This window comes from Homo sapiens, chromosome 1, assembly GCF_000001405.40.
Source record: "Homo sapiens chromosome 1, GRCh38.p14 Primary Assembly".
In the NCBI taxonomy this organism is placed as follows: Eukaryota; Metazoa; Chordata; class Mammalia; order Primates; family Hominidae; genus Homo; species Homo sapiens.
In genome coordinates this window covers 112,384,163-112,411,113 of record NC_000001.11, presented here as the reverse complement: position 1 = coordinate 112,411,113, position 26,951 = coordinate 112,384,163, and the positions used below count along the sequence as shown (strand labels likewise).

General features: G+C 43.4%; 1 protein-coding gene across 3 annotated transcripts in view, besides 5 other annotated features; it reads right to left on the bottom strand.

Moving 5' to 3' along the window:
• Positions 1-20,027, bottom strand: part of CTTNBP2NL (CTTNBP2 N-terminal like) — a 70,078-nt gene extending 50,051 nt beyond the window's left edge. Inside the window, exon 1 of one of the 3 annotated variants that reach the window (XM_017001806.2) lies at positions 19,497-20,027. The gene's annotated coding sequence lies outside the window, so the exon portion shown is untranslated. Of the gene's footprint in view, positions 1-14,528; positions 14,901-19,496 lie in introns of those variants that run through there. The other 2 variants (XM_011541781.3, NM_018704.3) reach the window with 2 other exon arrangements.
• Positions 3,174-3,361: a silencer, noted in NCBI's record as "fragment chr1:112950375-112950562 (GRCh37/hg19 assembly coordinates)". NCBI's record gives its function as "represses an EF-1alpha promoter that drives an FKBP-Casp9 reporter gene in an ReSE screen in K562 erythroleukemia cells {active_cell/tissue: K562}" and the evidence as "EXISTENCE:reporter gene assay evidence [ECO:0000049][PMID:32094911]".
• Positions 6,114-6,639: an enhancer, noted in NCBI's record as "NANOG-H3K27ac-H3K4me1 hESC enhancer chr1:112947097-112947622 (GRCh37/hg19 assembly coordinates)". NCBI's record gives its function as "activates a minimal SCP1, AML or CMV promoter by ChIP-STARR-seq in naive H9 embryonic stem cells {active_cell/tissue: H9 hESC(naive)}" and the evidence as "EXISTENCE:reporter gene assay evidence [ECO:0000049][PMID:30033119]".
• Positions 14,653-14,702: a silencer, noted in NCBI's record as "silent region_1195". NCBI's record gives its function as "represses an Ori minimal core promoter by ATAC-STARR-seq in GM12878 lymphoblastoid cells {active_cell/tissue: GM12878}" and the evidence as "EXISTENCE:reporter gene assay evidence [ECO:0000049][PMID:35858748]".
• Positions 24,244-24,778: an enhancer, noted in NCBI's record as "H3K27ac-H3K4me1 hESC enhancer chr1:112928958-112929492 (GRCh37/hg19 assembly coordinates)". NCBI's record gives its function as "activates a minimal SCP1, AML or CMV promoter by ChIP-STARR-seq in naive H9 embryonic stem cells {active_cell/tissue: H9 hESC(naive)}" and the evidence as "EXISTENCE:reporter gene assay evidence [ECO:0000049][PMID:30033119]".
• Positions 24,779-25,314: an enhancer, noted in NCBI's record as "H3K27ac-H3K4me1 hESC enhancer chr1:112928422-112928957 (GRCh37/hg19 assembly coordinates)". NCBI's record gives its function as "activates a minimal SCP1, AML or CMV promoter by ChIP-STARR-seq in naive H9 embryonic stem cells {active_cell/tissue: H9 hESC(naive)}" and the evidence as "EXISTENCE:reporter gene assay evidence [ECO:0000049][PMID:30033119]".

Below are 26,951 nucleotides of genomic sequence, written 5' to 3'. Positions count from 1 at the left end.
TATAGACCCAACAACATATACACAAACCACTGCATAAGCTATTCCAGCAATTTCTGCCCAATATATGGGCAGAATTATGTGGCCAAGGATATTCAGAAAAAGGGTATTTCTAGCCCCATATTCATTATCAGAAAAACTGACAGATTTTTGGTATGCCACATGGTGTCTATAGACTCATTCCCTACTTATTTTCTAAGTAAGCTGTCACTTGTCATCTTCATCATCAGTGACTCTGAAGGACAAGATCAGTTCAACTAGATGCTCAGCTCATTCCTTCCAAGACCCGAATTACCTTAGAGTTTAGACACAGATATTTCTAAGTCTATGGACTCATTCCCTACTTATCTTCTAAGTAAGCTGTCACTTGTCATTTTCATCATCAGTAACTCCGAAGAGCAAGATCATTTCAACTAAATGCTCAGCTAATTCCTTCCAAGACCCAACTTTCCTTAGAGTTTAGACATAGATATTTCTAAGGAATGCTACAGTCTATAAATCTGAAATAAAAACCACTTGTAGACAAATTATCTGGATACATTATCATACACTGTGGCATAGCCAGCTATAGCTATATTAAGCTTTATAGTTTTCTCAATAAAAAATACACATATAAATATATACAATAAAAAAGATAAAGATATTTATTTTTAAAAAAGATATTTTAATAGCCTGGAAAAATAAACCCATTTAAGGGCTAAGTATAACACTTTTTTTTTTTTTTTGAGATGGAGTTTCGCTCTCATTGCCCAGGCTGGAGTGCAATGGCACGATCTTGATCACCGCAGCCTTCGCCTCCCGGGTTCAAGCTATTCTCCCACCTCAGCCTTCTGAGTAGCTGAGATTATAGGCATGCGCCACCATGCCTAGCTGATTTTATATTTTTAGTAGAGATGGGGTTTCTCCATGTTGGTCAAGCTGGTCTCAAACTCCTGACCTCAGGTGATCCCCCCGCCTTGGCCTCCCAAAGTGCTGGGATTACAGGTGTGAGCCTCCGTGCCCGGCCTACACTTATTTTTATGTTATCAATAAGTGATTTCAAATGAGCCTGCCCAGCATACCATTTGGTGTATTCACAGGTTTCATCCCACCATGAAATCTTAGCCCAATAGCCAGGACAGCATGAGTCTTTTCTAGATGAACTTTCTTGTGCCAACAGTCAGAAGTTATGGGTATCAAAAACTGCATCCCCCCAACTACCCCACTGTGCCTCCTTAACTGTAGTACTGATTTTGCCTAGAAGTATGTTGGTGTGGCTCTGCTCATTTTATTCTGATATTTTCCCCTCTCTGGATACTATCCGAGCTCCACTTATTCTGGTTTCGGTTATGCTTCTTCTTTCTTGAAGAAGTCCCAGTTTCTGCTCTGGAATTCTGACTTAATTCTATAAGATAACAAGCATTGCTGCTGCCATTTTACCATATAGAGACTGAATGGCGGAAAAAGAAACACCCTAAACAGCTTCTATAGCCATGTAAGCAGTAGGACAGGGCAGGACAGGGCAGGGCAGGGTGGAGTACAAGCAAGATGTTTGTCTGTCTATTATCTGGGTGTGAGCATATCTACATAGAACTGAGGCTTTATTTCTTTCCAGGTGGTAGGTTTTTCCACATAAGGTAGGAAAACAACATTTTTAGATGAGGCTTAGATAGCTCCTGACATAGAAATGCCTCAAAAAAATCTATATAGATCTATTTAAATAAATCAACTGGACTAATTTTTTTTAATCAGTAATTTTACCTAGGAGAGCATTCTTGCAACGCTGGATAAAAATCACTTTTTAATTATATACTCAGATATCGAACTTAAGAAATTTATACTCAGCTATCAAATTTAAGAAATTTATATTTGGACTACAAATGACTCAGATTAAGGTCATTCAGTGAGTTTTTAGTATTGGTGAGCAAAGTGATTAGTGATTAGCGAGCAAAGTTATAAAGGAAATTGACTCCAATTATGTAAAGACTCCTTTTTTTTTTTTTTTTTTTTGAGACAGAGTCTCACTTGGTTGCCCAGGCTGGAGTGCACTGGCACAACCTTGGCTCACTGCAACCTCTGCCTCCGCAGTTTAAGCAATTCTCCTGCCTCAGCCTCCTAAGTAGCTGGGACTACAGGTGCGTGCTACCACGCCTGGCTAGTTTTTATATTTTTAGTAGAGACGGGGGTCTCACCATGTTGGCCAGGCTGGTCTTGAACTCCTGACCTCAAGTGATTCGCCCACCTCAGCCTCCCAAAGTGCTGGGATTATAGGTGTGAGCCACCATGCCCGGCCCGTAAATACTCTTTCAATACATATAAGCCAAGCCAAAATATAGGAGGCCAGTAAATTCTTAAAACTCAAAGAGCCAAGATGGACATGTGAAATGGGTGTTTTTGATAGTTTGCCACTAGATCATGTACTTTTCTTAAAAACCCAGTATACATGAAATAATAATAAAAAAGAAACTTGCCACATTTACAAATACTAAATCTGAATATGAACAGAAATGCACTGCTATTTTAAAAAATGCATTCAAAGCTTCAGTTAATAGGGTTGCTCCTTAAAAAAAAATTAAAATGTATACAAAACAACCTCATATTGGAGGTAGAAGGTGTTGACACACTACCTTGACTATCTCAAAAGATTTAAGATTCTAATTTTTCAGAAGGATTATTTATTCATTTGGGATAAAAGAGTGACAACATTCTAAATGGTCCCTTTCATTCCTCTTTGGCATTTAAGGGTTAGGCTAGGAAGTAAAACATGTCAATGTGCCACTAGAAAATAATTTTCTGGCTGGGTGCAGTGGCATATGCCTGTAATCTCAGCACTTTGGGAGGCCAAACAGGAGGATCAATTGAGGCCAGGCGCTCAAGGCCAGCCTGGGCAACAGCAAAAAAAAAAAAAAAAAAAAAATTAAAAAAAAAAGAAAGAAAGTAATTTTTTGATTAAGAAAGCAGATCTTTTGTACATTTGTTAAAGAAAGCTGTTTTTGAAGGGCGTGGCTCACACCTGTAATCCCAACACTTTGGGAGGCTGAGGCCGGCAAATCACCTGAGCTCAGAAGTTTGAGACCAGCCTGGACAACATGGCAAAATCCTGTCCCTACAAAAAATGCAAAAATTAGCCAGGCATGGTGGCATGTGTGCCTGTAGTCCCAGCTACTTGGTAGGCTGAGGCAGGAGAATTGCGTGAGCCCGGGTGGTGGAGGTTGCAGTGAGGCAAGATTACGTCACTGCACTCCAGCCCGGGCAATACAGCGAGACCCTGCCTCAAAAAAAAAAAAAAAAAAAAAAGAAAGAAAAAAGAAAGCCGTTTTTGTTACTATTTACAAAAGTTCTAAAATCAAGGTATAATAACTGATCTCATTTTATTCAATTCCAATATTAAACAGTATATATCTCAAATCAAGCTTCTCTCAGATGAAGGTGAAAGATATTACTGGAATATTTGGATTACTATAATACATGTGTTAAATACACATAACACAGGCTGACTTGTACCTCCCAAAATTCATATGTTGAAGTCCTAAGCCCCAGTACCTCAAAATGTGACTGATTTTGGAAACAGGATCTCTAAAGAGATAATTAAGTTAAAATGAGGTCATTAGGGTGGGCTCTAATCCAATATGACTGGTGTTTTATAAGAAGAGGAAATAGAGATATAGACGGGTCAGAGTTAAGACAATGTGAAGACAGCCATCTTTATAAGCCAAGGAGAGACGCCTCAGAAGAAACCAATCTTGCCCACACATTGATCTCAGACTTCTAGGCTCCAGAATTGTGAAAAAATAAATTTCTATTTTTTAAGCCACCCCATCTGTGGTACTTTGTTATAGCAGCCCTAGCAAACTCACACAACATGTTAACCACTTACTACTTTGACAGATGATTAGAACAACTGGATCTAATTGAATTGTAGGTAAGGGGGATCTAAGCCTTCCTCTTACCATGACAGCACTACAACACAGTATTTCTCAGAATGCCTTATTTTGCCTTATCAGTCTGTTTTTTCCCAGCCATATTATAGACAGCATTATATAAAACAGAATGGTTTGGGAACATTTTTAGAGAAAATCAATTTCAGGATCCCACGAGGAAAGATGTTTTGAGTTATCCTGAAATATAATATGAATAGTGCACTTACAAAGAAATTACAATGGTGCCAAGGGATCAAGATGCTTGTTTATTCAATACTGCCAACATAGACTTTGAAGCAGGCCTCAAGAGATCAGCTCTATAATTAAGCTAGTATTTTTTAGGGTCAACATTTATAACACTGTAGTACTCTATTCAAATACATAGTGCTCTATTTACATTAAAGCAGATTCCAGGTTACCAGATTATCTGGATCTATGCTTAATAGAGAAATTAATTATGATATACTATCAGCAATAATCACCACCACTTCAGAGTTCTATAGCAGTTTTCTAAGAAGAATTTAAACAATAATAGTAATAATGAAAAAAAGATAAACATTTATTGAGCTAAACATTAATGTATGCCAGACAGTGTTCTAAGTACTTGACATGTACAGGTATTAACTAATTCAGTCTTCACAACAACCTTAGGTGATATGCTATAACCATCCCCAACAAATTCATCATTATCATCATCCTCCTCATTTAACAGATGAGAAACCTGAGGCATAGAGGCTAAAAAACTTGCTCAAAGCCTCACAGCTAGTATGTGGTAGAAATGGGATGTGAACCCAGGTAAATTGACTCCAGAGACTCCCTTGGTAACCACTGCTTACATCTGATCCTCTCATTTTATCAGCCTTAGGAATTGTATGGTGGAAAAACCTCAGCTAAACAACGATTCACAAAGCTGGAAGGAGCCTCAGCAATAATCTAATTCAGCACTCTCATTCTACAGATGAGTACTGAGGCCAGAGTTGTTAATGTGAATACAGTTAAATAGAACTAGGTCTAGCACACGTTTTTTTTTTTTTGAGACGGAGTCTCACTTTGTCACCCAGGCTGGAGTGCAATGGCGCGATCTCGGCTCACTGCAACCTCCGCCTCCCAGGTTCAAGCAATTCTCCTGCCTCAGCCTCCTAAGTAGCTGGGATTACAGGTGCCCACCACCACGCCCAGCTAATTTTTCTATTTTTAGTAGAGACAGGGTTTCACCATGTTGGTCAGGCTGGTCTCGAACCCCTGACCTCGTGATCCACCTGCCTCGGCCTCCCAAAGTGCTGGGATTACAGGCGTGAGCCACTGCGCCCGGCCGCATACATGTCTTTTTAAGATCCAGTTTAATTCGCTTTCTGGGACAACATAATAGGTATCAGGTTTTTGTTTTGTTTAGTTCTAAGACTCATGCAACTCTGCTATATCTCTCTGTGAGTGTGAATGTGTGAATGTGTAAGTGTGTGTGTGTACACATCTCTTTCTCTGTCTCTCATATATGATGTCAGCAAGATTTATATGTATATTGAAGAAAAGAAGGAAGTAGCCTTATGCCCATAAACAAACATTCAGATATCTCTTCCCTCAAATGAGAACATTAGTGCAAAGCTATTAAAAACAGGTCTGGGCTGGGTGCAGCGGCTCACGCATGTAATCCCAGCACTTTGGAATGCCGAGGCAGGCAGATCACCTGAGATAAAGAGTTCAAGACCAGCCTGGCCAACATGGTGAAACCCCATCTCTACTAAAAATACAAAAATTAGCCGGGCATGGTGGCGCACACCTGTGATCCCAGCTTCTCAGGTGGCTGAGGAAAGAGAATCGCTTGAACCCAGGAGGTGGAGGTTGCAGTGAGCTGAGATTGCACCACTGCACTACAGCCTGGGAGACAGAGCAAGACTCTATCTCAAAACAAGAACAAAAGGTCTGTCTACCTGGATATCTGTTTACACCATCTCAGGTATTCTCATCTGAGACAAGGCCAAACTAGAACTACATTAGTTAAGCTACTGGAATGGATGTTAATGAAAATGAATAACAACTTTTATATTAATAAATTTTTTATCATTGAACATTTTAAAAAAGATATGTCTTTTAACATCAGAATATTATTACCAGGAAACTGAAACATTACATTTTTTTTGTTTGTTTTTTTTGAGATGGAGTTTTGCTCTTGTTGCCCAGCCTGGAGTGCAATGGCGCAACCTCGGCTCACCGCAACCTCGGCCTCACCGCAACCTCCGCCTCCTGGTTCAAGAGATTCCCCTGCCTCAGACTCCCAAGTAGCTGGGATTACAGGCTTGTGCCACCATGCCTGGCTAATTTTGTATTTTTAGTAGAGACGGGGTTCCTCCATTTTGGTCAAGCTGGTCTGGCACTCCTGACCTCAAGTGACCCGCCCACCTCGGCCTCCCAAAGTGCTGGAATTACAGGCGTGAGCCACTGCACCCGGCTGAATCATTTCTATATAATTTGTTAGATGGCTTTATTTCATTTAAATGAAATTGTAACATGATTTCAATCAAATATGTATCTGACCGTCTCTATTGTCTATCTGTCCATCAGTCCCCTAAATTTTTGCTTTTCTGAAATAATGCCACCATAACTTGTAAAATACCACAAGGGAACAATAACATGTAGATTGATTATTTTCAGTAAGATGATTCATGGGCCACAATTCTAGAGGCAGCCTGGAATGCAAACCCTTCAAATGCTAATGTAGGATGATGACGTCATTGATTCCACTAAGATTCCACACTGGGGAGAAACTCCAGAGTATGGTATGAAGGATTAACCATCAAACAGTTAAGGAATCTGTGTTTTAGCGATGCCCATAACCTGACTTTATCTGAACTGCAAAAAAAACTTCAAATAATCCTCTAGCAGAAATAAAACTCGTGATGTTGTTTTGTCTTCTAAGACAGATAACTGACTTAAAAAAAATTTAACAATTGAGTATCAGTTGAATATTTCCAACAACAAGCCTGGCAATTGTTGTTCTATGGTTCTTCAGGGACAGTAATTCTGCTGGGAGACAGTATGTTATAGTGGAAAGCACATGGATTTTGGAATCTGACAGAGCTGAGTTTGCATCCTGGCTCTGCCACTTGCTCTTTCATCCATTTAACCTTTGAACTTCAGTTTTTTAGCTATAAAATGGACATAACAATACATACTGTAACAGGAGGCTGCATGGTTTAAATGAGTTAGTGACTGGTCAGCTTCTCATTTCTCATCCTTAAAGAGCATACTTTTTGGTTTCATCTGCAAGGATAATGAAGTTTTCCTTTTCCAATGGGTCATCATTGTCTATCATTCACGTGTCTAATTTACAAACCAAAACAAGTTTACTTCTGACTTCTGGCAGGTTGATCTGCACCAAAAAGAAAGAGATGGCCTGGCCAGTTCCTGGGAAAGTCAGTTTAGAGACATGTTCAAGCCAATTGTATCTGCACAATACTTGGGAAAAGAAAAGGCCAGCCTTCTGCTTAGATTAGTTTTTTGTGCCTTTAGCATACAGGTAAACGCATACCTTTGCTTCCACTGAATTTTAACAGGTTTTAATCAAGTCACAACTTTAACTTGTGATGACTGAGAAATGGGTTTCCTGAAAATATCACAGCTATTTTTTTACATTAAATTAAATGCATAATGGATATGTATCTACATTCGTAATTCAAGAGCAGTTATCACATTCTATTACATCAATTCATCTGTTTACATATCTGTCTTCTGTCTCACAAGACTCTGAACTCATCTGAACAACTACTCTGTCTATTCAACTTGATCACACTTAGCACTAGCAGTGTCTGGTTCAGATACTGAAAAAATGCTGGTTGGAAAGAAATGTACAGCACTTTCAATCTCAGCCAACACAACTGGACTTTACCTTTTAGAAAATGGGAAGCCACTCAACATTTTTAACCTGGTGAAAATCATAACAAAAGCATAGTTTTAGGAAAGTTAATGCTTACAGTACAGGGCTGACTTGACTGAAGAGAAAATGGAAACAGAAAGAGTAGTCGGGAAAAAAATTTAACAGCATAGGTATGAGGCAAAAATGTATGAACTAGGATGGTAGCAATAAGAATGGAAGAGACTGACAAAAGAGACATTAAAAAGAATTTACTTAGTTATTTAAGAATTTACTTACAGTAAATGACGGATTTTCATTTAGGGAGGTAAGAGGGGAAATAATCCCAGATCAGCTGAGGTTTTGAGACTGGGTGACTAGAATGATGATACCATTAGCAAAAACAGGGATGTTAGAAATGGAACTGGGTTTACTGGGGAAATGATGACTGTGATACGAGACAGGCTGAATGAGAAGTTATTTGACCCCCAAGAGGAACGTGTTAAGAGTCTGTTAGTGTGGTGATGGCTAAGGGTTTAGAAGTGAAGAAGTCTTTGGGGATAGAGCCTTTTAAGGAAATTTATTCTGTGCCCTCAATTTAAGGACAAGAGGCAACAAGATGAAACTGATATATAGGGCTAGACCAGATCATTGTTATACCCTCAAACATTAAGTCAGTTAAGAACTAGATTGGTTCTGTTGTTACTTCTGTAGCACCTGCTGTAACAGAAAGGACTATTTAGCAGAAACCAAGTAATGAGGGCCTCCCTGGAGCCCCCATTCTCCAACAAAAAACCCAGTTTGTGCTTCTTTCTTTTTCCTATAACTTACCTGTCAGTTATCTTTCATCCTTCTCTCCATTATAACTTACAATTCTTATCTCGTGTTAAAACAATTTATCCCTGCTTCTACTTTCTGTTCTCCTTCCCTGGCTCTCACTTTTCTTTTTTTTGAGATGGAGTTTCACTGTTGTTGCCCAGCCTGGAGTGCAATGGCGCGATCTTGGCTCACCACAATCTCCGCCTTCTGGGTTCAAACGATTCTCCTGTCTTGGCCTCCCGAGTAGCTGGGATTACAGGCATGTGCTAACATGCCTGGCTAATTTTGTATTTTTAGTAGAGACGGGGTTTCTCCATGTTGGTCAGGCTGGTCTTGAACTCCCAGCCTCAGGTGATCCACCTGCCTCAGCCTCCCAAAGTGCTGGGATTACAGGCGTGAGTCACCATGCCTGGCCTGGCTCTCACCTTTCTATGGTGAGTAGACCCAGAGCACACTTCAGCTTCAGCCTAGCCTTTCCCAGCAGTTTTGCACAAAGAATCTACGCAGATGCTCCCGAAGCTCACGGTCAGGAGTCTTTGTCTGTAGACCCACCCCATCATCCTGTGCTTTCCTATTTTCCTTTCTTGTTTCTATTAAACTCAGTAACAATTAAGGGTTGCATTCTTTAAATTCAGTAACAATTGAGAACTATATTCTTTGTGGCTCCAGAAGTCAGAAAGGATTCATTAAACAGCAAATGACACATTTAGATTGGAAGTTCTGGCTCTGTACCTGAAATGCAGAGTTTGGAAATAACTGGCAAAGATGAGCCATATTACAGCGCATTGCATTATCTAGTTCAATGCCTCTTTGTAGTCTTGTTTTCTTCAACCCACAAACTCCCGCCTTTCATGTTCCCCCACCTCTACTCAACTCCCCTATCCATGTTTTCTTCTCACTCCAGTTTTGGTTGTTCCTATCATCGCTCCTTACTTTGAGGACAGTGGGGGAGGCTGTCTTCAAAAGTAAGGTAAAAACCACTTTTAATCAAAATTACCATTAAAAGTCCCTTAAATTTCACAGAAGGTATAACTCTGCACGGTAATCACAGTATCTACAAAACCATTTATATGACATTCAGGATGATGCTACTTAAAGATAGTAGAGCTTAGAGTGGAGCAACTGACAATTCAGAAAGAAGACATCGGCTAGCTGAATCCCTTGCCTTTCTTTTTTCCTTGGACCAAAAAACTCAAGAAAGATAATCTGCATGACAAAATTATTAAATACACACACTCCAAGACAGATACACACTCTCCTAAAAATCTTTGGCTCAGATGCTTGAGATCATGACATATGCAAACAAGCTTTGTTTCCCTCTATTCAGGACTTAGTCATATGTTGAAAAATTTAAAACAAAACCAATCAATAACTAAAATCCAACACTAAGTCTTCACCTTTGCTAAAATGCTGAAGGGGTAAAATAATGTTGAATATTAAATTCTTTAACTCACATGCCAAGTGCTAATAATAATACCTGTCAATTACTAAGTGCTTCTTATATCCTGGGTACCTTGCTTTGTGATATGTGCACGTGTATGTGTGTATATTCATGTAATCCTTTTTTTTTTTTTTTTTTTTTTTTGGTGACAGAGTCTTGCTGTGTCACCCAGGCTGGAGTGCAGTGACACAATCTTAGCTCACTACAACCTCCACCTCCTGGGTTCAAGCAAATTCTCATGCCTCAGCTTCCTGAGTAGCTGGGACTACAGGCACGTGCCACCATGCCTGGTTAATTTTTGTATTTTTTTTTTTCTTTGAGACAGAGTTTCGCTCTTGTTGCCCAGGCTGGAGTGCAATGGCACGATCTTGGCTCACTGCAACCTCCGTCTCCCGGGTTAAAGCCATTCTCCTGCCTCAGCCTCCGGAGTAGCTGGGATTACAGGCATGTGCCACCACACCCTGTTAATTTTGTATTTTTAGTAGAGATGGGGTTTCTCCATGTTGGTCAGGCTGGTCTCAAACTCCTGACCTTAGGTGATCCGCCTGCCTTGGCCTCCCAAAGTGCTGGGATTACAGGTGAGCCACTGCACCTGGCAATTTTTGTATTTTTAGTAGAGACAGAGTTTTGCCATGTTGGCCAGGCTGGTCTCGAGCTCCTGGCCTCAAGCGATCCACCCGCTTCGGCCTCCAAAAGTGCTGTGATTACAGGTGTGAGCCTCCGCACCTGGCCTATTCGTGTAATCCTTAAAGAAACCTCTCCAAGTTATTTCTATCTCACAGCTGAGGAAACAGACTGAGCTACGGTGAAGACAGAAAATTTTTCTCTTGCCCTGGATCACACAGTGAACAGTAGCACAGTTGGGATTTGAACCTAGGTTTGCCTTTAAAGTCTGTGTTGTAAATAATTACATTCTCCAGGCTCATGATAAGTAAGCCATTTTCTCACTAAAAGGCTTTAAATTGAACTTTGGAAGATTTAAATTTTAGTTATTAGCAGCAAATATTCAGAAACTTTAATTTTGTTAATTTTTTATTTTTTGAGATGAAGTTTCTCTCTTCTTGCCCAGGCTGGAGTGCAATGGCGTGATCTCGGCTCACTGCAACCTCCGCCTCCTGGGTTTAAGCCATTCTCCTGCCTCAGGCTCCCGAGTAGCTGGGATTACAGGTGACCATCACCATGCCTGGCTAGTTTTTGTATTTTTAGTAGAGAAGGGGTTTCACCATGTTGGCCAGGCTGGTCTCAAACTCCTGATCTCAGGTGATCTGCCTGCCTCAATGTCCCAACGTGCTGGGATTACAGGTGTGAGCCACCATGCTCGGCCAAATATTCAGAAATTTTAAAATGGCCTTTAGAAAACATGCTAATAAGCCACTCCTGGGGCCAACCAGCATAGACTGAACAAATTTCCTCTAGAAGCATATCTCTGCTTCCTGCTTCATGACGTCAAACACCAGTTAGATGGAAACCCCCAAGAAACACCATTCTGCTCCACTCAGAAAAACCAAGAATTCAAATCCTACGCTGCAAATCAACTGGTAGCACTGCAAATGTGATTCTGCCAAGATACAAATCCAGAGAAGACTGATTGTATTATGCCCACCACAATCAATAATCAGCCTGTATAATTACACTTAGGGACCCAAGGCTGTTCTGTGCTCCGTTCCTATTTTTAGTGTTACTTTAAAAACACAAAATCAACTAAAAATCCATTTTAAAAGTCCCAAAGTAGATCAATAACTTGTCAAAACCAAACACTCAGAAACTATTCTTTTTTTTTTTTTTTTTTTTTGAGACAGAGTCTCGCTTTGTTTCCCAGGCCGGGGCGCAGTGGTGCAATCTCAGCTCACTGCAAACTCTGCCTCCTGGGTTCAAGCAATTCTGCTGCCTCAGCCTCCTGAGTAGCTAGGATTACAGGTGCATGCCACCACATCCAGCTAATTTTTTACATTTTTGATAAAGACGGGGTTTTATCATGTTGGCCAGGCTGGTCTCGAACTCCTGACCTCGTGATCCACCCGCCTCAGCTTCCCAAAGTGCTGGGTTTACAGATGTGAGCCACCAAGCCTGGCCTCAGAAACTATTCTTGAACAAAAATCAGCAATCAGTCCCTAGTGATCTCTCCTAAATTCACTTCATTCCTATCAGGTCAGATATTTAGAACAATAAAATCCTAAAATGATTAGCACTCATTACGTTCTTAAGTCTGGTTCAAATTTCATGACAGTAAAATAGTATTTTCTAACTAGCAGATTACATATATATTTTTTTAACTTTTTTTTTTTTTTTTTTTGTTAAGAGACAGGGTCTCTTTCTGCTGCCCAGGCTGGAGAGTGCAGTGGCATGATCATAGCTCACTGTAACCTCAAACACCTGGGCTCAAGCAAGCCTCCTGCCTCAGCCTCCCAAGTAGCAAGGATTACAGGGATGAGCCACCACACCCTGCCTCACAGATATTTCTTTATAAGAAATTCAAAATTTTAGTCACTTAAGACACTGGAATTTCATAAGACAGAAGATGGGGAAAATCAAGTTAAATGAAGACAACAAGTAGGCCGTTTATACTAACAAATTGTGCCAAATCTAATCAGTACATTGCCTTTCAGTCTACCCTAAGGTGACAGCCTCAAACTAAGTTAAACAAACACTCATGAAGTCATACTATATACTAGGAACTGTGAAAGATATAAAGATGAAAAACAAAAAATACTACTATCTGCCCTCAAAGAATTTATAATTCAAGGAGAGAGATCAGACATCTATCCTCTGCATACTATGCTTTTCTTCACCTAGCATGACCAAACAGGTGTTGAAAAGGTTAAAGGAAAGATTTTCAAGACCCAAAAGTGTAACAAACAGATCTTGCTTACTGTGCTAAATAATAAAAGAATATTATTTGCTTTTTCCTATTAAACCTCGGCAATCACAACTTTGGTTTGCTTAGTCTCTTACCTTAGTTTATTTTCTGTTCTCTGTTGATATAATACAACTTATCTTTTTGGGATTTTCTGTTCTGCTTTTAGTTTTTTCTGCTGTTATTGCTGGGAGCTCACGTCTTACCCTTCTATTGCAGCACACATTGCGTTTGCTAGAGACACCCTCCAGTTTCTTCTTTGTACTTTCTTACTGGAGATTTGGAAACAATCACTGAGAAGACCTGTGAGCACCGAGTGGCTCTGAAAACTTCAAACCTAACTATTCAAAAGTAATTATCTTTAGGAAGTCTACCTTCAGAAAGTCTAATCAAGAAGGTAAAAGACAACAGTCATTACAATCACCCTCCGTGATTCCAACTCCTTGCATTTTATTGCCATCAGCTTTGGCTATAGCTGACAGAGGGGAGGTAGACTTGAGATTGGAAGCAAAAGAAACTATGCTAAAAACATGGTAAATTTTAATATATAAAAGCGCTAGCAATAGATGATTACTGGGGATTCAACGACATTAACATGAGGTCAAAATCAACACTTTGCACCTGCTGAAATGAAGACCACTTGACAAAACCTTTAGGAGCACACTAGAAGAGGCACTTTTTGGTAAACATGAATAGCTAGAATACCTTGCCTTTATTTACTCTTATCTCTGAGATTTAAAAATTGTTCTTACTTTTCATCCTCTAAATTTTGATAGATGATCGTAAAACCAATCAAAATATACATGAATGTTTCCTGGGGGCGGGGAGGACACTATAAAAAAGGGGTTAGAGAGTTACCAAAGGACATAGGACTAGATTAATCATAAACCTAGATGACTGACCCTGAATTTTCTTCAAACACTTCCTGTCTTTTGTTTCAACCTGCAGTATACCTTCAAGGTTAACTGCAGTCTCCCTGAGCAATGGACCAGCCCACCCTAGACTGGGATATACTCATTCCTAATCCACTGCTACTTATTTACTTATGTATACTGTTTCATTTGAAAACATGGTGTTATTCATTGACTGTCAAGCAACATATACTGCATTCCTGCCCACACAAAGCCAGCTCTGCAGATATCCAACACACCCACCTCACTGTGAAATATAAGATGGCTTTTCATCAAGTTCTCAGGGAGGAAATAGGGTGGAAAAGGAAAAATGAAACGCAATTCAAACCTAAGAAACCCTTAGAGGCTGGGTGCTCCCAGAAGGAACAGAAAGTAGAAGGAAGGTACAAAGGGTGAAGGAGAGGAGGTCCTAGTTCTCCCTCTTTCACAGTCCAAAACAGTCCCAAAACAGGAGAGCTCTCGACTCCTCACAAGAGGCCAGAGGATGCGAGGGGCTGCGGGAGGAAGACTGAGCATCAGAGAATGGGGGATGGGAAGAACTTAAGTGGGAGAAGCCGCTTCCTCCGTAAAGCTGGCTGTCTAGGTCGGTCTTTGATTTTTGCTTCGCCCCATCCCTCCTTTTTGGGAAACACCAATTTTATCTTACGGAGGAAAGCAGCTCCAGTCCCACCCTGGCGAGCAGGGACAGGTGTAGGGAGGGATGTTTGGCCTTCCGGGGGTACGAAATGGGGTTGGGGGCGGCAGCCTAGAGAATCGGTACCTGTGAGTCCTCTCCGCCAAGGCTGAGGTGCGGGGTGGGAGGTGCCTTTGAATGAGGGGTGTCAGAGGGAAGCCCCTTCTGAGGAGCTGGGAATCGACGAGGGACAAAAAGTAGCTGTGAGGACCCTCGGAGGATGAGGAGCCGCCTCCTCGGGGAATACCGGGAGGTGGAGGAGACGGCCCCGCCCCCTCAGGGGATGGGCCCAGAGGCCGTTGAGACGGCGGCGGGAGGCTACCGGTGCCCCTATCCTTGCTTTGCTCTTGAGAACCCGGCCTCCCAGCCATCACCAAGCCCCAGGGATAGTTGCTCCTACCTTTCCACGACGCTCCGGGCTCCGCTCCCCTCCGCCTCCACTCCCCATCCACAGCGGCTGAGGCTCCGCCCCCTCAGCCGCCCGGCGGGGGCATTGGCATTCACCAGCGCCAATCGCCTCCTTGCTTCTCCAGCCTCGGCCCCAATCCGCGCCGGCTGGAGGCGGGGCTTCTCCAAAGTCATTCAGGCTCCTCCCGGGGCCCCAAGATCCCTTTTGTTTGGGAAGAGCAAGGCCGGGATTGAGCTCGCGTCACTTCCGGGAGGAAGCGCCCTCCTGGGTCCTGGGCTTCAGGGTGGGCTCGCGCCCCTCCCGGCTCGGGGTCTGCAACTTTCCACCTCTGCGTGAAAAGTCTGGGCAGGACCGTGACTAGTGCTTCGTGCTTTTACCTGACTGTACGCGGAGTTTAGGAATGGAGGGCTCTGGTGGCCTAATCGATTGGGATTTTATCCAGAATGTTAATAAATGAAGTGGGCTTTGGTGTCTGCATTAGAATGAATTCGTTGTTGAAAAACCTGGCTTCCTTGCTCCCTTTTTTTTTTTCTTTTTTCTGGAAGCGCCTGTGGGCGTGGTGCTGGAAGCAAGGGTGCAAAGATGAAACACCTGGAGATCACCCTTCTCTCAACCACATTTTGTACAGAAGAGGATACTAACTTTGGGGGACATAAACCCAGCCGACCTGCCTTCCAGGCGGAAGTCAAATAATTGCAAATTTGTGTGGCAGGTTTTTCCACCCTATGCTTGCCAGCTGAGGCGACTTTTTTCTTTCCTTGGCCTCATTATATTGTGGGGAATGGTGTTTGCAGTGAAGTTGAAACAATGGAGAGTACAGAGGATGCAAGGAATGTCTGCCTTGTGAACACAGGAATGCAGATCTTGGTGGCAGCAAGTCTTAGGCAGGACCAAATAACTCAGAGAGGGGAGTGGATGTATAACTAGTTGTATCCCTACCTAAGGTCAAAGTTTCTGAATTCCTTTTCCACAGAATGGCTGTCAGCTCACAGATTGATGCAGCTGGTTACATTTACAATAACCACATTATTTAAAATACAATATAATAAATATTTGAGACGAATATTCATAATGCATAAATAATGTAGTACACTTAATACATTATCCCTAAACTTAGCAATTATAATTCGCAAGACAGCATTAGGGACCTAGTGCTTGCCTAGGCAGACAGTCCCCAAGGCAGATGCAGCCTGCCTCATGCAGTTTACAGTCTGACTGAGGGATGTGATCAGTTTGTGCGATTATAGTCTGAAAGAAGTAAACAAGTATTTATCATGTTATCACTGTGCCATGTACTTTCATTTAATGGTATTTGATGTCATTTTCAGTGCTGTATGAGAAATCTATCCTACAGTGTAGGATAGACATCATTGTGTCCAATTTACAGATGAGAAGATAGAGATTCAGAGAAGTCAAATAAAGTCATAGAGCTAGTAAATGGTAAAGAATTTCCAGTAAGGATGTATGACTCCATACTTATGCCATATTCTGCTCACTTCACACTGGCTCTCACATGCTGGACTAAGAATGGGCGTGGATGATGGTAAAGCAAACATTAGAGCCAGAAGGACAGCTCTATGCCTCCCCCTGTTGATTTTAGGCTTGGGAGGGTCATCTCTGTATATGAAGGATAGCAAGACTATGAGTGAAGGTGCTCGATAGCAGTGTAAGTGAATCTGGAGTAATGATGCAGGGTATACTGAACTTCAGAAAGGCATTATGCCTTGTGTTCTGAAAACTGACAATCTGAAAGCTAAAATGAGGGGCCAGGCACAGAGTAGGTACTCAATAAATATTGACTTGAAACAAAATGTCTGAAATGATTACAAATACAGAGTGTTAGGTGCTGGAGCAGGCAAAGGAACTTGAAAAATCCCATTTCCTCCTCCTCCCTTTCGCTCTGCCTATGTGTATGCAATGAGGAAGTGCCTCATCGCCTGACAATGAAGCAGATGTGGGAGAACAAGCTATTTTCTGCTGGCTTCTGAGTCACTCTAAGAGTTGTTCTAGTGAATCAGCTCCTCCCTTGTTTTTCTTTTCTTTTTTTTTTTTTTTTTTATCGAGATGGAGTCTCGCTCTGTCTCCCAGACTGGAGTGCAATGGCGCAATCTCTCACTACAACCTCCGCCTTCTGGGTTCAAGCGATTCTCCTGCCTCAGCTTTCCGAGTAGCTGGGATTATAGGCGCCTGTCACTGTGCCCAGCTAATTTTTATATTTTTAGTAGAGATGGGGTTTTGCCATGTTGGCCAGGCTGGTCTCAAACTCCTGACCTCAGGTGATCCACCTGCTGGCCTCCCAAAGTGGCTGGGATGACAGGCGTAAACCACCATGCCCGGCAGGTCCTCCTTTCTTTCCCTCATTCCCTTTGTAGCTGTTAACCCACCACCACCCATTCTTTTCCCTGGCTGACTGGGTGGGAGCAGTGCTCTGTGACCTACTTCCTTTAGAGCAATGGGCAACTCCCCTGATTTCCTGGCTTCCCTTCTGCGTATTCCTAAATGAGTGTAGAAGGACTCAGCAAAAATGAGAACATCCCTGCCTTGTAGGATTCAGAGTCTTGAGGGTGTTCAGATTGCTTTCCTTTTAATTTTTCACCCCTAGAAGTAGGGAACAGGCAGGGCTTGTGAACCTCGTGTATCTTTCAGATTGTAGCAGTGAGAGAGTTATGGAGGTTTGTGATTCTTCAATACATAAACCTTGTAAATAAATTTAGAGTCTGGTGCATAGGTGTACGCAGAGGTAAAAAATGGTTCATAACAATATCTTAGATTTGTATAACAAAATATAACATTTTAATGTCTATCATTTTATCAACTGGACAGTAAAATATTTATTAAATGCCTATTGTGTCAGGCAACAACTTAAAGTGCTTAAAAATTATAGATTGTGTCAATTTTTTTCCAAATAAGTAAATTTCCATAAATGTTTATTGCTGGTTTGGGGAGGCAGCAATGGAGTAAAAGAGGTCTAGGCTAGAGGTTAAAAAATCTGGAGTCTAGTTCTTATTCTGTCATCAACTATAGTAGTTTCTATCTGGGCAGCTTAAAACAACAGAAATGTGTTCTGTCTCAGTTCTTGAGGCTAGAAGTACAAAATCAGGGTGTTGGACGAGTGCAGTGGCTCACTCCTGTAATCCTAGCACTTTGGGAGGCTGAGGTGGGTGGATCACCTGAGGTCAGGAGTTCTAGACCAGCCTGGCCAACATGGTGAAACCCCGTCTCTACTAACAATACAAAAATTAGCTGGGCATGGTGGCGGGTGCCTGTAATCCCAGCTACTTGGAAGACTGAGGCAGGAGAATCGCTTGAACCCAGGAGATGGAGGTTGCAGTGAGCCGAGATCGCGCCACTGCACTCCACCCTGGGCAACAAAGAGCGAAACTCTGTCTCAAAAAAACAAACAAACAAAAAAAAATCAGGGTGTTGACAAGGTTGGCTCCTTCTGGGGGCTCTGAGAGATGCTCCATCCCATGCCTCTCTCCCCTGGCTTCTGGTGGTTCCCAGTGATCATTGGCGTGTAACTACATCATCCCAATACCTGCCTCCGTCTTCACATGGCCTTCTCTCTATGTCTCAGCGTCTCTGTATGTCCTCTCCTCTTCTTATAAAGGCCCCACTCATGTTGTACTTAGAGCCTACTCTATTCCACCATGACCTCATCTGAACTCATGACATCTGCAAAGACCCTATTTCTAAATAAATTCACAGTCTGAGATGGGTGCACATGAATTTTGGGGGGACATCATTCGACCCGATACACAAACCTACTTGGCAAAGTAACCTTCTCACTTAACTCCATTTAAGTTCATTGATAAAAGGCATGAAAGTAGTGGAATAATTCCTAAAGATCATTTCAGCCTATGATTTAATATAATGATATATGCTAGATACATTAATCAAGCTATCAAATTATGTGCTAAGCATTATGCAATTTTTTATATGACATCTCATTTCACCCTTAAAAGAATTCCACGAGATAGATATTAACAGTCCCCTTTTGCAGGTGAGGAAATTGAGGCACAAAGAGGTCCAAAGTCATGGAATTCATAAGTGATGAACACAGAATATTTACTTAGATCTGATTCCAAAGTGCACTCTCAAAATTACTATGCTCTATCATCTCTCCATCATGCTAAGTGGGTTAGGAAGATGGGGAATGCAACAAATATTTTCAATTTTGATTTATAGAATATTTGGAGCTGAGTAGCAATTTCCTGGAATTATGTGTAAAGTTTGGACTTATTTTATTTATTTATTTATTTATTTATTTATTGAGACAGGGTCTCACTCTGTTGCCCAGACTGGAGTGCAGCGGCCCAATCTCTGCTCACCGCAACCTCTGCCTCCCAGGCTCAAGCTATTCTCCGGTCTCAGCCTCCCAAGTAGCTGGGATTACAGGCGCGCACCACTACTGCCGGCTAATTTTTTATATTTTCAGTAGAGGCAGGGTTTCACTATGTTGGCCAGGCTGGTCTCGAAATCCTGACCTCAAATGACCCACTTGCCTCGGCCTCCCAAAGTGTTGGGATTACAGGAGCCACCGCGCCCGGCCTGGACTGATTTTAAAACAAGGGAAAGCAAGAGAAGCGGGAATAGTGGGTGGCAATGAAGGCTTAGTAGCTAGGAGGAGAGCTATGGGCACTTACCTGAACTTGTTTCCTCATTTGTTAAATGAGATAATAGCTCCTGTCTACAAGACCAGGTGGTTGTCAGTATCCAAGCGATCTGATGTACATGGAAGTATTAGCTACCTGGGAGATCTTGCTCAATCCTCTTCTCTGAGTCCTAGGCTCCAACTAAACATCTGGGACTCCATAAGGCTCCTTCTAGCTGTGGCCCACTGGACTGGGACTTATTAAGATGCTGAGTGCTGAGTGAGCTAGATGTAGAAGTTGAAATGAATGGGAAAAGTGATGAAAAGAAATGCTTTCTTTCTTCTGGCTTGTCTTCACTATCTCCTTTTCCTCACGCTTCCCGACCCCACCCCTTCTCCCCGGGGTTGATGAGGAGGTCAAAGTCTGAAAGCCAGAGAGGGCTCTCCAAGCCCCGGACCAGGCTGAAGCCGAAGGCAAGGTGTGCCCTCCACTGCCCCCTGCATTTCTGCATTTTCTCCCATCATTTGTTCCCACAAAGGATTTGCTGGGCAGTCCTTAAACGTTCTCTTCTTGCTTGGATCTGCCCTATCTGGGGAGACTCGGGCACCAGGAAACGAGATTTCTGGGTGTGGCCCTAAAGTGTTCCCGAGCTTATTGTGCCCCCTAGTGTCGAATAGTGAATCCTGCAGCCGTCGGCTTCCTTTCTGACCGTCCCTCTGATGCCTCCCGCCCAACACAGTTTTTCCTTTTAAGGGTGTGGGCTGACAGCACAGCAGGTGGGGACTCCAAGGACTGGCAGCTCAAAAATCCACCTCAGGGACAGACAGATTCTTTGGTGTTTGGCAAAATGTAGGGGCCAGCTTGGCCATGATGGAAGCTTTAAACTCTTTTTTTTTTTTTTTTTTTTTTGAGACGGAATCTCGCTCTGTTGCTGGAGTGCAATGGCGCCGGTCTCGGCTCACTGTAACCTCTGCTTCAAGCGATTCTCGGGTTCAAGCGATTCTCCTGCCTCAGCCTCCTGAGTAGCTGGGATTACAGGCGCCTGCCACCACTCCCGGCTAATTTATTTTTGTATTTTTAGTAGAGACAAGGTTTCACCATGTTGGCCAGGCTAGTCTCGAACTCCTGACCTGAAGTGATCTGCCCACCTCGTCCTCCCAAAGCGTTGGGATTACAGGCGTGAGCCACCGCGCCCAGCCGGAAGCTTTAAACTCTTATCCTAGATTGCATTAGGGGAAGTCCAGAAGTGAGAGGGATAGAAATCTAACATTGGGTGCCTACCAGGTACATATGTGACATAAACAATCCTTGTAACCTTTGCATATATAATTATTGCTACAATCCTGAGAGGTAATTTTTATTACTTCTAGTTTTTCAGAAGAGAAAGCAAGTTCAGAGAGGTTAAGTGTCTTCCCCAAGGTCACATAATAACAATAACAATATGATAGCAACATTAGCCAATTAATTAGTGCCTACTCCACACCAGGCATATGATTTCTTTTAATCCCCACAGCAACACTTTAAAGTGGTGATCATAATCTTCATTTTAGTGATGAGGTAACTGAGATTTTAGTGTAAGAAAGGAATAACTGAGAAGCTGCCTGAGGTCACACAGCGAGGTCCTCCCGTTTCCAGTCCCACACTGTTTCTATTCCGCCATGGCCTCATGGAGGTGGTGGGTGGTAGAGGTGGGACTCGGGCCCAGGCCTGTGTGACTCAATGTTCTTTCCATTACTGCTGCTGCTCGGCAGTTCTTCCTGAGGACCAGGAAACCATTGTCATGTGGTCTTTTGGAGTTCTCAACCTGAGATGATGGCAATGAAAACACCAAGGCAGAAGTCCAAAGGATCCTGGGGACAATTTGCTCAGGGAAGCACATGACCAGAGCAGCACTATGGGAACTGCACAACAATATTGCTGTCAGGGGCCCCGGGGAGGGCCTTCAGAGGAGCTGAGTCCTGTCTCCCTCCAGTAATTCTGTGTGGAACTCACATGTTCCCCTGAAGCTGATGGGCCAGGACGGGAAATGCAAAGCTCAAAGAGACCTAAAAGGAAAGGTAGATGGAAAATTCCTGGAAGTAGATGAGAGAGAAAATTCCAGATAGAAAATTACCAGAAATAAGCAGGGCACGGTGGAGTGTGCTTGTAGTCCCAGCTACCTGAGAGGCTGGGACAGGAGGATTGTTTGAGTCCAGGAGTCCAAGACCAGTCTGGGTAACATAGTGAGACTCCTTCTCAAAAAAAAAAATTACTGGAAATATATAAGCTATACCACAGAGTTCCCAAATCATTCAACAAAGTTCCCCTCACACCCAAAATATAGATTAGTCATAGGTCCCTGGAATAATGCTTTATGTCCCTTTGGGTGAGTCACAAATTTTCTTTTTCACTTTTCTCTATTAAATTATTGATTACATTTTATTAAATTATTAAAATTATTAAATAATTATTAAATGTGTTACCATCACATATGCCAGGTGGTAAGTTGGCAAACTGGTTGACGTTATGTTTGTTATTTTGAGGTGTAAATTTCACATAAATAGTCTGGTGGGAAAAGATATCAGTTGGGAACTATTTTTTAAAAACTAATTTGTAAGTTACCTTATTTCATTAAAGAGTAACTCCTTCCCTCTCTTCCCACCCCTCCCCTTACTGCCTCTCTTCCTCTGTCCCAGGTCCCTTCCTCTCCAAAAGTCTGGAGCCAGATTCCTTTTCTGTCCTTGTTGGCTGTTAAGACAAAGCTCTGAGTAGCCTTGCCAGAAGGGCTGAAGCTGACCCAAAGGCTGGTCCTCTTTCTTTTTCCCCTCTATTTCCCCTTCTTTCCCACATATAACCTCACATTAAGCAGAAAATAATTTCTGTGCTAGGGCCAGAGACAGAGCTTCAGCTTGGCTAGGCTGCCTTACAGTTTCAATTTGATGAAAGCCAATTACACATTTCCTCTGGTCTGTTATTTCAGCTGAAGCACCACACAGTTGGCTGAATGGGTCCTTGTTGCACACAAAAGGGAGAAATATTTGTAGGGAAACTAATGACCCGGTTATGGCTGCACCGTCATTTCTAGGCAATTTCCTGGTAAATGGCCCTTTGGAACAGTCTGGTGCTGGATGCTTCTGTGCCCTCATTTCCTGCTTCATGCTCCTGCTGGGCTCCTGCAGGACCAGTCTGCCCTGAACAAAGTGACCAGGTGACCCGCTTTCTTGGGAGGAGTTTATACATTTCCCATCCCCTTTTCTTTCTTCCACTTGCCTTTTTCTTGTCCTCCTTTTATTCCTAAAAATAATCATTGAATGCCTGTTAACATTGCAGTGATAACTAACACAGGCTTTGGACCTCAGGGCACTCAGTCTTGAAAGGAGGTAGACTTGCGTAACTCATGGACCCAGGTACTCCTGCTTTCTGCAGCCATGCTTTCCAAATAAAATAACTCAAATCCCTATCTTACATCATCATCGGGACTCCAGATGTAAGGGACAGAAATCGTTATCCAAAATGGCAAAAGGATTTTTATTGGCGCATACAATAGGAAAGTCCAGGAATAGTCTGACCTCAGATGAGGCTTGATCAGTTTTCTCAAAAATGTTACCAGGACCACCAGGTTTCGTTTCTTTTCTTTTTTCCTTCCTTCCTTCCTTCCTTCCTTCCTTCCTTCCTTCCTTCCTTCCTTCCTCCCTCCCTCCCTTCCTTCCTTTCTTTCTCTTTCTTTCTCTCCCTTCCTTCCTTTCTCTCTCTCTTTCTTTTTCTTCTTTCCTTCTTCTTTCTTTCCTTCTTCTCCTTCCTTCCCTCCCTTCCTTCCTTCCTTCCTTCCTTCCTTCCTTCCTTCCTCTCTCTCTGTCTTTCTTTCTGGTCTTGCTCTGTCACTCAGGCTGGAGTGACAGAGCAAGTGGTGTGATCATAGCTCACTGCAGCCTCCAACTCCTGGGCTCAAGCAATCCTCCTGCCTCAGCCTCCCAGGTAGTGAGCCACCAGGCCTGGCTGATTTTTGAATTTTTTGTAGTTTTACTATGTTGCCCAGTTGGTCTCGAACTCCTGGCCTGAAGTGCTTCTTCCACCTCCACTTCCCAAAGTGCTGGGATTACAGGGGCAAGCCACTGTACCCAGCCAGGACCAGGTTTCTATCCCTGTGTCTCTCAACTTTGCTTCCTCTGTGTTGGTTCTGTTTTAGACAGGCATTCTTCCTCAGCTGGCAATAAGCACAGTAGCTCAGGCTTCATATCTTGTCGTATTCAATAGGAAAGAGCACCTGCTCTTTTCCAGAAGTGGGAGAAAGATCCCACTATCTCCTTGGCTCTGCTTGGACTGTGTGTTCATCCCTGAACCAGTCATCGTGGCCAGGGATAGGCTGCTTTTATTGGCTAGATCTAGGTCATGTGCCTGCAGACATGGATGAAGAGTAGGAAAAAGTTATAGCCTCAAATGTTATCTGTCTGTCTGTCTATCTATCTATCTATCTATCTATCTATCTATCTATCTATCTATCTATCATCTATCCATCCATCCATCTATTATCTATCTATCTATCTATCTATCTATCTATCTATCTATCTATCTATCTCTATTACCAGAAAAAGTGGGGATGGATGTTTGGGAAGAAAATAGTATGTACTATGTACTTGAGAGTTTGTTTCACATTTGCTCTCATTCACAGGTCAGCTCAAGCTGGCATCTGTCCAGCTCTGGCTAAGCCTGGGGCTTTTATTGGCCTCAGAGGGGAGGAAGTGCATGTCAGTTGGTCCATGGGCAGCCCGGAAAAGGCACCACAAGTCCCCACTAGGGTCAGAGGGACTGGTAGCCTGGCCTCCAGCCTTTGGGCCCTCCCTGGCCTAAAGGTGAGGCCTCACCAGGGACCTGCCCCCTTCCACCCAGGAGCCTATCTGCCTCCTATTGCCATCCATGGTGACCAGGCTGCTCCCACCAAGGGGCACCTGCAGGCCAGCTCCAACCTGCCCTCTGCCCCACCTCAGCTCCCCCCACCCCATTGCCCCCCGCAATCTGCCTCAACCCTGCTCTGAGATCAGAGTGGGCACCAGGAGTGGGGAAAGGCCAGGCAGTAGGAGCAGACACCCTCGAGCCTGTGGAGGCAGCAGGAGCTTTCCTGGGCCCCTGAGGGTGCAGAGTACAGAGACACCCAGGTCCTGTGTCTGGGAGGGCGGGGCTGTCACCCAATCCCTGGAGCATGCATGCAGCTCCGGTGGCATCTCCTTGCAGTCTGGGGTGGGGGACTCCAGGTCCTCACTGGACCCCTCTCTGCCCACCCCTGCATGCCCAACCACCCTCCTCCTCTGCCAGTGGGTGGCTCGGCTGGCCTCACTGTGGCGGCCCCCAAACAGTGGGCTCTGGGCATGCTCCCACTTGTCCCTGGCTCCTGCTGACTCCCTTGGAGCACAGCACTGCCCTAGGCCCAGCTATCCCTCCTCCCCCTACCCTTCCTGCAGGGGCGCCACGCAAAAGCCGTGATGCGGTGCCAGGGTCCAGAGTTGCAGAAGCTCCGGGCCTGGGAGTGGGTCCCACCTGGCCATGCAAGGGTGGGGGCGGTGCAGTCAGTTGTCTCCAGACATGGGGCACAGGGGACCCACCACCACCATTGCTGCTCTCACAGCTACTTCTGCCACCACCACTTTCACCTCCCTGCGGCAGTTGGCGCAGTGGCAGTGGCTGCTCCAGATGGCCCACCACTGACATCAATATCACCCACAAGAGAGAGTTTGCCTTTAATGTATATCAGACAACTGTATAAACATTTGACCAGAAATTTACATGATTTATGTAATACAAAGTTCTATTCCAGTCCAGTTTTATAACAATTTTTCTTTTAAAACAGAAAATTTAAAATTTAGTATCAGTTAATACTGTTTGTAGAAAGCCATGGACCATCCCATTTCAAGGAATTCCATTAGACTTCATCAGTCCTGTTTCTTTCTTTCTTTTTTTTTTTCCTTTTCTTTTTTTAGATGGAGTCTCTGTCACCCAGGCTGGAGTGCAGTGGCAGTGGCGTGATCTCAGCTCACTGCAACCTCTGCTTCCTGGGTTCAAGCGATTCTCCTGCCTCAGCCTCCCGAGTAGCTGGGACTACAGATGTGGGCCACCACACCCAGCCAATTTTTGTATTTTTAGTAGAGACGGGGTTTCACCATGTTGGCCAGGCTGGTCTCCATCTCTTTACCTCATGATCTGCCCTCCTTGGCCTCCAAAGTGCTGGGATTACAGGCGTGAGCCACCGTGCCCGGCCACTCCTGTTTCTTCATTAATTTCTAACGCCACTTCTCTCCAGACCCTGCCTCCCATCTTCTCTTCCAGACATAACCCCCTTCTTAAAGCAAATTCATTCAACAAAATATGTTGAGTACCTGTGTTCTAGGCACTAGGGTTACAGTGATGGGCATGATGGTTGTAGTTGTCCACTTTGCATTGCCATAAAGGAATACCTGTGACTGGGTAATTTACACAGAAAAGAGGTTTATTTGACTCACGGTTCTGCAAGCTGTACAAGAGTGGCACAAGCATCTGCTCAGCTTCTGGTGAGGCCTCAGGAAGCTTTTACTAATGGTGGAAGACAAAGGGGGAGCAGGCATGTCACATGGCAAGATAGGGAGCAAGAGAGAAGAGCAGGAGGTCCAGGCTCTTTTTAATGATCAGATCTCATGGTAACTAATAGAATGAAACTTCAGTCATGACCATGGGGAGGGCACCAAGCAATTCATGAGGCATCCATCCTCGTGACTCAAATATCTCCCATTAAGCCCCACCTCCAACATTGGAGATCACATTTCAACCTGAGATTTGGAGGGGACAAACATCCAAACTATATTAATGGCTATGGTTCCTTCTTCAAAATTCCTGTAACTTTGTCATGCAGAGCAAGTTAATTTCTTATTGCCCTAACCTTTCTTATCTCAGCTCTCTTCAGGGGCCCTCACTTTTTATAGCCAGATAAGCCCAAGAAGTCACCTTCTTCAGCAAAGGAATTGATTTGTACTGTCCTTGGAGGTCAGCTGGCTTAAACTGCGGCCGGCTTCTGTGATAATATTCTTATTTATTTTCCTGTTGTATAGGCAAACAGATAATGAGAATATTGTAGGTGAAGTACCATGCTATTAGTAGAAGTATTGACTAGGCATAGCCTTCAGTGGTGTACGAGGAAAGAGACCATTCTTTAAGGAAGAACTGCTTGACTGTTGTATAACATAGTGGAGCGGGCGTCACTTTAGAGCCAGACCTACCAGCTGTGTGATCTGGGCATGTCGCTCAAGTACTTTGAGTTTCAAATCCCTTATCCATAACATGGAGGAAATAATAATGTGTTTCACAGGGTTGTAGTAAAGATTAAATGAGATACCAAGCCATTTATTGATACCTTTTTCTCCCTGCCACCAATCTATCACCAAGTCCTGTCAGTTTCACCTTTTACATTTCTCAAATCCCTCTATGTCTGTTTCTACCACCACCATCACCTTGTTCTGCCCATTTTCTTGTCATGACAATAGCACTGGCAATCTAACTAGTCTT